The following is a 13593-nucleotide window of genomic DNA, read 5'->3' as shown; positions in this document are numbered from 1 at the left end:
ACTGCTGAATGCAGTGTCTTATTAATTGTATCTTTCAACTCTTTTATATCCTTGTTGATTGCTTAACAGATCAATTATTGAGATAAGTGTTAACATTTCCCATTAAACAGTGGATTTAACAATTTCTTCTTGCAGCACTGACCATTTTTGCTCTATATTTTCAGACGCATGCCAATTAAACATTTTATAACTTCCTGATGAACTGGACTACTTACAAAGATAAGCACTGTCCCTATTCATTTCTAATTAATATTTATGAATTTGTTTATGTATCCATTCTGAGAATCTTTAGCTTTAATTGGAGGATAAGCCCATTAAGTTGTCATTATTGCTATATCTGGATATTTAACTCATTGATTTTGTACTTCCAATTTTGTTTTCTTTCAGATTGATTAAAATTTTCCTCACTTTAATTCCTGTACTTGCTTTAAAGTTATGTACTATTTCCTTCCTTCCTTTCTTCCTGGATAGTCTAGAAATTTTAATTTGCATATTATACTTAAAGTCTAAAATCACTGTCTTTACCCTCCTACAATGATAAAAGGATCTAAGAATTCTTTATCATCAATTACCTTCCACTTTTCATGCTATTTACATGCAATTATTATCCAAAATTTTGGATACATACTGGTTTTATTAACCCCACAACTTACACATATTGTTACTGTTTCCAGTAGACATATTTATCACTTTATTTTAATTTAATTTTGTTTTTCTTACCATTTCTTCTTTCTTCTTAAACCCTCTTTTTATGACCATTTTTATTCTTCTTGAAATACATCCTTTAGCTAAGTTCTGTCTGTGGTAATCCTTCTTAGGTTTGTTTTTTTTCTGAAAAATGTCTTAAGTCTTTATTCTTGAAAGATAATTTCACTGAATATCCTATTTTCTCTCAGCACTTAATGTATAAATATGTATTTCATGTATACATTTTTTAATCACAGAAGAAGAGCTAGAGGCACTGTCATTACCAAGTGAAGCAAGAAAAACTAAGAGTCTATTTCTAGTAAAACAATTAATTCGCTACCAAAAATTACTTAATTAAACCAAACTATGCTTCAGTGCATCCTTATAAAATGTGGAATTAGCTAGTGATCTACCTTATAAGAACATTAGTGAATTAAACAGCTATAAGATAATAGGTGGAATGGATTTAAGAACACATTTTTTTGCCTTCTTAACTATGTGACTACACCCTAAAGTACTGAGACATCAAGAACATTATAGAATTAATATTTGGAAGAGAATGAACTCGTTTTAAAAGATTACTCTTTCAAAAGGTCCAAAGTATATTTGTCGAGAAAAAAGTTAACTTTAGTATGTTTAAAAATATATAGTAGGATGAAGAGGCTCCGTTCTGAAAACCAGCCTTTAAAATATATTCTCTCAACTCTGTTCATAAAATTGCACAACAAAAACCAACCAACCAACCAACCAAACAAACAAACAAAGTTCTGTCACTGGAGCACACTGCTCCTGGGGAAAGCAGCTACAGGGGGAGATCCTCTGCATTTACAGAGCATTCATTTTAGAGATGAATGAGTAATAGACCAAGTTTGCAGAGCTAGTAGCAGAGATAATACTAAAACACAAATGCTAAATGGGTGGCTTAAGAGAATCCTGTGAAAACTAACATTTCACAGCTTTTAAGTTCTAAGTTTAATGCTATACACTCTATCTATAAGACTGACGAAGGGGATTGATAACCCTGGGACTAGAGTACCTCTGAGTAGCAGCTACAACCTATGGCATCCTGCTCCTAGCATGCCTAGAATTCCAGTTATTGTTCACTTACATGAATAACGACATTGAAGACTGATTTTAAAATACAACTATCTGGGAGCATAGTATTAGTCAATCTTTAATACTCTAATTCAAATCAACTCATAAAAGCAGTAGAGATACCAAAGAGAATCACGACGTGAAGGAACACTAGTCAGGTAAACTTTGGGGGAGAGGAAGAGTAGGGAGGGTTAGAGCACAGGAGAGAGAGCCTCCTGGGTTAACCAGCCTGTGGACAGTGCCTCCAGGCATATGTGTAGAAAGCTATGGTTGATTGGGAAAAGTTGGGAGGCAAAAAATGGCATGATGGCAACTGCTCCAATGAAGAGACTACTTCAGACAGGGGGATGCAAAGACAGAGAAAACAAAGAAACTCCTCTGTTTGTTTTACTTAGTATAAGTTCTGGGAATAAACAGAAGACATGAAGAAGGAATACAGGTGATTGCTGAATAGAAGACAGTGAAGCACATAAAGAGGTGTAGCCTGATGATTTTGGGACAAAGAACATGTACCCTAAAATTGAAGCCAACAAGCACCGCCACTTTGAGCTAAGTTACTCATGAGATTCATTGGTTAGGATGGTGCCTCCATAGAATGTAACCCAAGGAAAAACTGTCCAGTCTGACTTATGACTGTTCTTGGCCCAGAGTGCCCTAGGCCTGGGTAAGAAGACTGCCCTGAAGGACCTCAGGGTTTGTGCACTTATACACAAGATCACTCCCTTTCACCCATTCATACTGTCCTCTTGATTTACCAAATATTTCCTTCCCGACTCCCAACTTTTGCCTCCATTTCCTGTATTTTGATGACTATCTCCTTGGCATTACATTGCCACAGACAAATACAACAGTAACCATCTCCCCTTCGCACAAAGTCTGGAGTCTCCTATATTTGGGTACTACCTGTAGGCTGCTTATTTGGGCATAGACCAGTCCTATGTACAAGCATCAAATGAAAAATAGACTATCCTTTGTCAAATTTTAAGAACAGATAATGTTGTGATGGCCAAAGATTTTGATGTTAAGGAGTATTGAGAACATTGAGAACTGGTGAGTAAGCATTTTTACCAACATAGCTCCAGCTTCCAGTACATATTGTGTTCCAGTTCTTTCGACAAAGATGCTCAAAAGTGGAATCGCTCTACACACTGAAACGAGTGAGCCTGATGCTCCTTTCAGGAACATCAATTTCTTTTTGTCTCCATCAGTTCCACACTCATCAAACAACTTAATGAACTTTAAAACCCTACATAGATCATCGGTTTGAGCCAAGTATATTCTGGTAAATTTGAAGCCTGAGTTCCAGTTTTTATATTCATCTTTTGTAACTTTTATTAGCAGTATTCATGTTCCTTGGTAAGTGACTTCTCTGGGGACATGAAAATTTTCATATCTTAGATGACAAAATTAAATATTTCCTGCTGACCACTCGTAGAAACTCAGGTTAGCATTACATACGAGTTCTTACCCATATGTAAAATAGAGAAGAAAGAATCACCAGCCCATGTGCCTGAGGCATCCTCCAGAAACCTTCTGTAAGCCAGGGGAAGAAATGGGGATGGGAGAAGAAGAGGAAGCAGGAAACTGTCCCTCGGCTTGCAGACCAGACTTGATAGACAACTACAGAAGTTCACTAAGCAGGGAGTAACTGCCGTTACTCTAACCATAAATTTCCTTTAACTGGAGTACTTCAGCCTACATTAGTATTCCATAGCTAAACTTTACTTGTACTTACTGATATTTCCAGAGAAAGACTGAAAAAGGAAAGCAAGAAATGAAGAAGGAGAGATACATCTGAAAACAAGGGAAAAGGGGGAGAAAGAGGAAAATAAAACCACAAGCTAGAAAAAGTAAGCAAAGGATGAAGGAAGTAAGAATCAATAAGCATAAGAAGGAAGAGGAGAAAGTACTTTTACAAGTTTAGACATATTTGAATAAATGCGAGGTCTGGGCTTATTAAAAGGTTACAAAATGATTCAGGCATTCAAATGACCATATTAGATCTACAAACCAAAGTCTAAGACAACAATTACACCTCTGTAACATCTGAAAAGGAAGGTTACAAATCAGTCTTAACTAAAGCATAGGAAATATATGCACTTATAATTGCTTATATGTAATGTTCCCAAAAGCATAATGAAGCTCTTGATGAAAGCAAAGAGAATATTATCTGGGGCACTCACTTTAATGACCCCATGAAGATTAGTGATAGAGAAGGAACCCATCTGAAAATGTAGCAGGGGACATTAGACCTGAAGAAAGGAACCTGAGAAGGAATAACTGAAGATTAGGTGAAAGAAAGGAGCTATGATGGGTGGCCCACTTAGTTAAGCACACTTAAAAGGAACAATAGGAAGCTTGAAAAGGAACAGACGAAGCACTCCAGAAAGATAAGGACGGTGTGGGCAGAGCTGCCGTAACAGCCCACACAGGGAACTCATGATACTACATAGGTGGAAATAGGATGGATGTAGAGTTTAGTTGGAACATGAGATGTCAGATTTCAAATAAACTTATGTTTCTTCCCATTTTCTCCATTTCATTTTATTAGGTTGTTCTGCATATGTTTATTTGGCACATGCTATAGGTGAAATGCTGTGTTGGCCATTAGGGCTATATCAGAAAACACAGCAACAAAAACCCAGTCTTGGACTTAATTTCAGGCACACATACAGACACAACCCCCTTTTGAAATTTTATTGAAAACAAGTCATTCCCATTAGAGGTTCACATTGTCTAACTCAGAATATAACCTGCAATTTCTGAATGTGGATTTTCATAAGTAACTAGGTAAGAAAACACCACTTGGGGGGATCTGAAGTAATACTTGCAGAATATCTAGTCTAATCAATGAGACCATGCAGAAATGATGAATGAAAAATCATTCAAGTAATCACTGAGTCACTGTATACCCAAATATAAGCACTGATAAAGGAAAAGAAAGGAAGAGAGAGAGATAGAGATGGGGAGGAAGGAAGGAAGGAAGGCAGGCAGGCAGGCAGGCAGGCAACTTCCCCTCCAGGGAGCTATTCAGTCTAGTGGAGAAAAGGAGATTTTCATAACATGAAGTAAAATTTGCACAATATGATCAAGCACCTGATTGTTTAGTTCAGAAAACAGTAATTAACAATCACTTTCCAGTTATAGTCCTTACTAAACCTTTAGCAAAATTTTAAACAATCTGATTGTGTTGATTTGAATTCTCCAATTTTTCTTCACTATTAGATATAACCAAATGGTAGGTTCAAAGGGCCAGAGCGAGGGTAGCAAGGTCTATAAATGTGTATTCAAACAATGGTTGTACCACACTATCACCAGTGGCTTTAAGACAGCCCCTGTGTCCCATGGATTCGTGGCTTTCTGCCAGAAGTGGAGGATCCATACACACTTAACAGTGTGAGGTATGAGGGATGCTGCTGATACTCAACTTTCAACAACCAGAGTCCTCAGTAACACCTTTAATAAGACTATAGCCCTCCAGTGCTCATCAGCTTCTGTTTTCTACATGTTCTCAAAGTACTTACTTTTTTTTCTGTCACCTTTAATCCTTTGGCCTGAGAAGGTGAATCATCTTCTATAGCTGTATAACAGCTCTCATTCCATGAAGAAAATTACAGATGTAACATGCGTCTCGTCTTTCACTTCCATGCAAGGGGCAATGCCAGTTCTCTGTCAGTGGAGTTTTTTTTTTTTAAACTACACCCTAAGGCTTATCAAGTACAGTATTTACAGTTGCAATTGCACAAATGATTTAGTATCAGACATATAACAATAAGTTGAAGAAATTAATATAAAAAGCATCCTTCATAATCTATGTCTATATAGTCTACCTTATCAAAACCATGCTGTAGTAAATTATCATAAGTATGTTCAAAATTTTTAGACTTAATTGCACTTATGTTAGCTAGTTCTCCATTACCTAAAGAATTAAGGCCAGATTGTCTTGATTTGCTCCCCAGTTTTCCAGCCTTATCTCCCAACACAGTCAGTCTTCCATGTACCTCCCTACACTCCAGTCTTTATAGTTCCCTGAACATGTCACATACTTTTATACTGCTGAGTATTGCTTTACGATCATCCTTCTGTCTCAAGTGCCTCTTTCACTCCATTTGCAACCTATCAACAACCTATAGAAACCCCCAGTTCAAATGTTCCCTCTCTTTTCAAATCTTCCCTGACTCCCTAGTCAAAAGTATTCCTTCTAGGATGTATAACTTTTACCTTTATTTAACACATTTTTGTTCTGCTTTCTTGTTAGTTCCTTAGATATCTAACTCTCTGACCACACTTTAAGATCCTTGAAAATGGGATTATGTGTTTTGATCACCTTTAAATCTTCTCCAATCCCTAGCACATGCCTTTTACATAGTAAGTACTCAACAAATGCTTGCTGGATGAATGGGTGGATGGACGGATGAATAAGGGGATAGCATCTCAGTTCCCTAACACAATAGTTAACAGATGATTGCCAGGGGTCTTTTCCTATCTATAATGCCCTATGGTTCTTTTAGAAGATAGTAGCTTTGATTTAGTTCAGTAGACATTGGGGAAAACAAAAAACAAAGAACCTCAACAGACTCGTGTAAGAAAGAAATAGGCCGGGCATGGTTGCTCACACCTGTAATCCCAGCACTTTGGGAGGCCGAGGTGAGCAGGTTGCTTGAGCTTAGGAGTTCAAGAAAACAGCTTGGGCAAAATGGCAAAACCCCATCTCTACAAAAACTACAAAAATTAGCGAGGCATGGTGGCACATGCCTGTAGTCCTAGCTACTTGGGAGGCTGAGGTGGGAGGATTGCTTGAGATCGAGAGATGGAGGCTGCAGTGGGGCATGATTGTGCCACTGCACTCCAGCCTGGGTAACAGAGTGAGACCCTGTCTCAACAACAGGAAGAAAAGAAATGAAAAGAGAAAAGAAAAGAAAGAAGGAAGGAAGGAAGGAAGGAAGGAAGGAAGGAAGGAAGGAAGGAAGGAAGAGGGGGAGGGGGAAGGCAGAGAGGGGAAGGGGGAAGGGGGAAGGTGGAAAGCGGCAGGAAAGGAAAAGAAAAGAAAAGGAAAGAGAGGAAAAGAAAAGAAAAGGAAAGAAAGGAAAAGAAAAGAAACCTCATCATAATCCTATGGGAATTCAGGACCCTAAAGGAGAAATATCAGAAGGCTCAGAAGAAGCTGTAGATTCTAAAGGAAGATGAGGACTAGAAGGAAACAGGAGTAATATAAAAGTAGAAACAAGCTAAGCAACATGAAAGTAGTAAAGTACATTTCAAAGCCAAACAAAAATTAATCTTGGACCATTCAATAACTTCAACTGTCAATAAAATGTCTTCCCTTCATCTTTAGATATGAGTGATGGCTGGGTTTATGCTCCTAATCGGCAAGTACACATGCCAGTGGAGGGGGCTGGTATCTGCTGTTGATGGTGCTCCAGAATCTCATGGGAGTAAAGGGGTCCTATAGAGTGGTTACTGGTTTGTATCTGGTACAGACTATAGGATTTAAAAGCACACAGAAATGTTGTCCAAGGTACACTGACATCAAATAACCTTCAGTTTCTCAAACAAGCATCAGTTTGCAAGCACAAAGAAATACAAAAATATGAACAGTCATCAAACTGGTATCAATAATATGTAGAGCAGACGTATGTCCCATAAATATAGAATTGTCCTATATCTATTTTCCATTTTTAGAAGAATCTAGAAATATCCCATATGTGTGTTTAGTCCTGAGAATCAGGCAAATGCATATGTGATGTCCATGCCATCCTGATTTCTCAGTCTTCACAAGCTGGCATCCTATAAGCCACTGAGATCAGAAACTGAGACATTAGTCCCCAGATCCCCAGTGGATCATTCCATAATGCGGTTGGGTTTTTAACTTTGTGTCAACACATACTTCAGTCTCACCAACCATGAGTGCACAGAGAGGGGAACTTAGCAGAGAGTTGAGTGAGGTGAGCACCTGGGCTGGAGGGGCAGCAGATGAGGATTTACTAACTCTTTCAACAACTCTTTACAGAGACCTACTATATGCTAAGCACCATCCTTAGTAGCAAGAACACAGCAAAGAAAAGAACAAAACTTCTGGCCCCTGAACGCTTGCAAAGTAGGAGAGAGACAAACAGGATAAATCAGTGTCATACACAGCTTGCTAGATGTTGACAAGCACCAAAGATGAAGAAAGGTAGGCGGTAAAGAAAGAAACATTTAACATTAGAACCCCTCCTCTATTGATAGAAAGCACTGAGTTTTATCTAAGATATTAGCATCTACAAAATAAGATTGGGATAAAAATGGCGACATTAGTGATGTTTGGACTCTGTGCTCCTACTCCTTATCCTTAAGATGCCACTTTTTTAGAGTACCCTTCCTTCCCCCATTTCCCCAGAAGATACAGGGTAACCTACTGTGAGTGGAATCTGCCAGTGCCTTAGTGGTAATTCTTTATATCCCAAATGCCATATTACCAGACCAAAGTTTCATCCATAGAGAATGTCATAATCCAAGAGGATGTATAGTAACATCTAAATTCACTCCTCCCACCCCCAGACAATATCCAAGGCAAATGCCTTGGAGATAAAACCTTAATCCAAAAGAGTATCTTGAATGTCAGGAATTCCATGTACCATGTCATATGGTGATAAAGAAGTCTGGGCAAAGGGTCACATCCTGCCCAGTGACATATTATACCTAACCTGTGGGCTAGATAAAGGTTAACCCTAACTCTCCTTTACTTCAAAACCTCAATAAACCTGCCTTCTAATCTGCATTTAATTGGGCAGTTCAGACTAGATCCGGGAGCCTCTTCCAGCTTTGTGAGTTATTTGCCCTCTTATGTGTATTCCACAGGCCTCACCAGGATATGAACAAGTGGCATGCACTTAGCACAGCCAGAGACCAGAGCAAAGCCCAGGGGACAGTCAAAGTTACCACCTCCCAAACAGCTGGGAGTCAAGCACAGGATGTGGTTGAGTTAAAAGCATGACTTGGACTGCAACCTTCACATATTTAGAAAATCAAGTACAAATGCATGCACACCCACAGGTTTTCACTTGGCTAAGGCTTCCAGGGCGCAGGTGGGAGAGCTATTTAGATTTTTTTTCTCAATTAATTGACTTAGAAATTGTAGTAAATAAACAGTTTAAGTACATCTTCCACCCCCTCCCCATATCATTGAAGAGCAGCTGCTTCAGGATCCCAGGTGGCTCATCAAAGTATAGTCTGAGCATGGGTGCTGGGGCTCTGGCAGAAAGAATCCTCAGCCACTGGGGAGTAGGCTCTGCCATTAAAATATGTATTAAGGCCGGGCGCGGTGGCTCACGCCTGTAATCCCAGCACTTTGGGAGGCCGGGGCAGGCGGATCATGAGGTCAGGAGATCGAGACCATCCTGGCCAACATGGTGAAACCCCGTCTCTACTAAAAATACAAAAAAGCTGGGCATGGTGGCGGGTGCCTGTAGTCCCAGCTACTCGGGAGGCTGAGGCAGGAGGATGGCGTGAACCTGGGAGGCGGAGCTTGCAGTGAGCAGAGATCGTGCCACTGCACTCCAGCCTGGGAGACAGAGTGAGACTCTGTCTCAAAGAAAAAAATATATATGTATTAAATATCATATCATATATTATAGCACGGAAGAGAAAATATGCCTGGTACAAGCCAGGCATTGTGCTTATTGCAGCTCTACAAACATAAATGACAAATTCAGAATTCACACTCTTGTCTACCTTACTGTAAGCTCTTAACCACTCTCTTGTCAGAGACTGTACATGATAGTGGTGCTGATACAGATGATACATTGTTTGACAACAGAGTGGTTAAGAGCTTACAATAAGGTAGACAAGAGTGTGAATTCTGAATTTGTCATTTATGTTTGTAGAGCTGCAATAAGCACAGTGACAATGGTGACCTGAAAATGATGTGGTTCCAGAGAAACCATCGACTTTAAGATCGACAATAAGAGAGAACTAGGACATTCAGTGGAAAAAAAGTTGTTCTGGATAGACAAAACTTACATAGATTGTAGTCATTTATGTGAATTGTGTACCATCATGCCTAATTATGAGCCAATATAATAAAATGTATGTACAAAAATAAATAAGTCAGAGCAACTTTGATCTAAAATGTATTTAATTAGAATAGTGGGCTCTCTATATATGGGATATAATTTGATTATATGTCCCCACCAAATCTCTTGTTGAATTGTAATCCCCAGTGTTGGAGGTGGGCCCTTGTGGGAGGTGTTTGGGTCATGGTTGTGGATTTCTCATGTCTTGGTGCTGTCCTCATGATAAAGGGGATTCTTGTGAAATCTAGTCGTTTAAAAGTGTGTGGCACCTCCCCCTGCCGCTCCCTCTCTTGCTCCTTCTCTGGCCATGTGACATGCTCGCTCTTGCTTTGCTTTTCACTATGCCGAAAAGCTCCTGGAGGCCTCCCCAGAAGCCGAGCAGATGCCAGTGTCATGCTTGGGCAGCCCGCAGAGCCATGTGCCAATTAAACCCTTTCCTTTATAAATTGCCCAGTCTCAGACATAGCTTTCTTTATGGCAACCCAAGAATGGCCTAACATAAAATGTAATCAGATGCCAATGTTGTCCAAGTTCTAAGATGCATGTGTGACATCTTCATAGCATTTTATACTCTATAAAGTGTACTTTCTGAGGGCAGTCTCAAGTGCTGGGCATAGTTAAACGTTGGGGAGAAGGAAGCAGCAAATGGTGATAAAATAGAGCCTTGCTCTGGAGAATCTCAGGTCTGATCATTTCACCCTGACCCCTTCTCTGTGAATTAGTTATAATTTTCACCTTTCTATAGATTAGGAAACTGAGGCTGGCATTAATGAAATAACTCATCCATAGAGTTCACTTTTCTATTTACAACTTAAAATGTTAAATGTATTGCTAGTTAGTGAAACACTCAGATTCAGCACCGGAACTCTCCTTTCTTTAAGGAGACCAAAAGCCCACCCATTCTCTATTATTTGAAGAAATCTTGCTTTAGTTTTTTTGTATTATTATTAAATTTCCCGTCTATTAAGTCCAATTAAGTTTTCAGTCATTGGGACCAGATTTCTGAGTGAAATGAAGAACCAATTAGGGTGATCCAAACTAATCAAAAACAAGGTGCCATCAGCCTGTCCATGGGCCCTTCTACACACCTGTCACTTAAGGAGCAGAGCATTTTAGCTTCACACACACCTACTCTCAACCAGGGAAGGACAATTCTTAACAGGGTTAAATAACCAATATGATCCAGTTTAATTCCATGGAAAGCAGAGGGAAAAAGGATGGGAATAAGGTTTGATAGAGAGGAGGGAGTAAGAATCAGAGGCTTGGACAACTGCCCCAGCAGGACCTCTCAGGGGAGAGGGCAGTGAAGTATGTAGCAAGGATCAAGCTTTACTTTAGGTCCATGCTTTGTATCCTTGGATATGAAAAGCCAGATCCTTACAGCAGGATGACCTTGTGTTATTAGAAATACAGTAAATTCCCAGAGAGGTTAATTTCTACACTTAAGACATAAGTTGTAAAAAATGTCTCCCCAAAGCAAAGATGATGAATTTTTGTGTAGCTGTGGATTCTCCAAATCATGTTGCCCATCTATTGACGTGAGGAATTTAAAATTGCCCAGGGAGAAGTCAATCAGCATTTGCATCAAGAGGCTTTGCAAAGTAGACGCTCAGAGAACTGACCTCCCAATCTGTACTCCCAAGGCCATGAACATTGCAGGCTCATTTCCATTCACAAAGCCTGCTCATATTTAGAGTGAAGCAGAATGCCAGGAATCAAGACTATGGAATAATCCCAGGGGATTGTCCCTTTGTACTTTCCAATAATAAAATGACTGTGCAATGACATTTGGAATAGCTAGTGTGACTAATGTCAATGTTTACACTGTTTTGTTGAGACAATAATAAATAATATTTATTGAGGATTTACTATATGTTGAGCACTGTTCCAAGTACCTCACATGGATGAACTCATTTAATCCTTGCAACAATCCTCTCAGATAGGCACTATTATGACCCTCATTTAACATGAGAAAACAAGAACAGAAGTAAGGAAACTTCCCCAAGGTCATACCTTTCAACAGGAAAATTTTTGTACCATAGAAACATGGAAAAGTTAAATTAATTGTTATAAAGTCATCTGAAGTGACTGATATCCTTGCTACCTCAAAGTAAGTCTGAGCTCCCTCTTGACCCTGAGCTGTCAAAAACAACAAACATTAAGATGTCTTTTTCATCTATGTAACTTCCAGTAACTTGTTTAAGGCTGGGTGGAGAGTAATTGGTCAATACATGTTGAATGCACACCCTGCTTTCTTTAGATTTCATGATGTCTACATCCATATGATGATTTTAAAGGGTGTTTTAAAGACTAGCAAGATCTGAATTCATTTTGATGATAAAGCCTATCATTTATTAAGCCCATTAATCTGTCTGCCTGCCAATCTCTCTTTTATACCCTGTGATAAATGATACACTGTCTTTAAGGTTGACATTTTTATCCAAGGACCATGATGTGTATTGTGAGCCTGATCCTATCATGAAAATATTCATGCATTCTAGGGAGTGCTTTCATTCAAACAGATTTGGAGTGCTTATTTGCAGCTGCACAATGGTAGGCAGCTCAGAATCTTGCTGCAGATGTGTTTTGCTTGACTGGCAGTGTTGAGAATTTTTTTATTTGAACGTACAGATCAGGCCCGCCTCTATTTGCAAATAAAGCCTGATTTACACATTTAGCTACCTGCTTGACCCCAAAGTGTTTAGATTTGTGAACTTTCCAATCTGTAGGTACCTGAGAACTTGGCGTAAACCAAATTTAAGACCCCTGTGTTCCTGGAGTTCCTAATGTATGGCTCATACTTTAGGCTGACGGAAACATTTTCAGGGAATAGGGCAACTATTATTCCAAGCTACTCTCTCCAGATTTACATATCTAGTTCTCCTGGAGGAAATGTGGAGTTTCTTCAGGACATCTCTGAGATGTAATCATTAATTATTACCATGCCTTTACAAATGGTTGAACTAGGACCTGGGAAGGGCAGGCAATCTCACAGGCATCTGGCAATAGAAATGCTGCCAAATATAGCAAACGCTTTACCTCTGACTTTACCCATCATTTGACTAGTATGTTCTTTGCTATATTTTTCTCCTAAAATGCCTCTTGCAAAGAGATGAGATCTGTTCAAGACCTCACTATAGTTTATTCTTGAACTGTTCTCTTCTAGCCAGCCTGGACAGAAGAGAGGATTACTTGGAGGAAAACCACTGTCCTAAATTGGAACAATAGCCAAGTGTCCTGGGTGACTGAGAAGGGACTTAGGAGGGGCTTATGCTACTCCAAGACCAGCTGTCCTATTTTGATCTGATCTCTTGGATTCGGCTTCTGGTCGATATGATGTGGTAGCCAACGGGATCTCTCCTTCTGCCCCGGTATTATTTACAGTCTGGATCTGGTCCATGGTATAGAGCAACACGATTCAAATCAATACTTCTCTTCTCACACTGTGGACATTTATGTGCCATTGATGGAGAACTTTCCATTCCTTCCTGTAGTCCCGCTGACTAGCTCTCTCTGCCCAGCCCCATTAGAGAACTCAACTGTGAAATTTTCAGAGTTGATGCCAGTACCTGTCACTGGTCGGGTGCAATGCCTTTACCTTCCAGTAAGAGCTTTTTCTATTTGCTCTGTTAGGGGATAAGCAGCTCCCCTTAGCACTTTCCCTTTTTTGCTATAGGAATTGCTTTGAAATGGTTTCAGGGGCTCTGGAGCATTTGCTTGGGATTAGTATGAGTGACGTGTTAATGAATACAATAAC

At 39.5% G+C, this 13593-nt stretch overlaps 1 protein-coding gene across 18 annotated transcripts in view, besides 2 other annotated features; it reads right to left on the bottom strand.

The window, feature by feature from the left end:
- The window catches only part of RYR3 (ryanodine receptor 3), a 555136-nt gene that overhangs the window by 533621 nt on the left and 7922 nt on the right, over positions 1 to 13593 (bottom strand). The window lies entirely within an intron of this gene.
- Positions 3863 to 4374: an enhancer, noted in NCBI's record as "NANOG hESC enhancer chr15:33620309-33620820 (GRCh37/hg19 assembly coordinates)". NCBI's record gives its function as "activates a minimal SCP1, AML or CMV promoter by ChIP-STARR-seq in naive H9 embryonic stem cells {active_cell/tissue: H9 hESC(naive)}" and the evidence as "EXISTENCE:reporter gene assay evidence [ECO:0000049][PMID:30033119]".
- Positions 8730 to 8779: a silencer, noted in NCBI's record as "silent region_6271". NCBI's record gives its function as "represses an Ori minimal core promoter by ATAC-STARR-seq in GM12878 lymphoblastoid cells {active_cell/tissue: GM12878}" and the evidence as "EXISTENCE:reporter gene assay evidence [ECO:0000049][PMID:35858748]".

This window comes from Homo sapiens, chromosome 15, assembly GCF_000001405.40.
Source record: "Homo sapiens chromosome 15, GRCh38.p14 Primary Assembly".
Lineage (NCBI taxonomy): Eukaryota > Metazoa > Chordata > Mammalia > Primates > Hominidae > Homo > Homo sapiens.
This window is presented reverse-complemented; position numbering and strand designations above follow the sequence as displayed.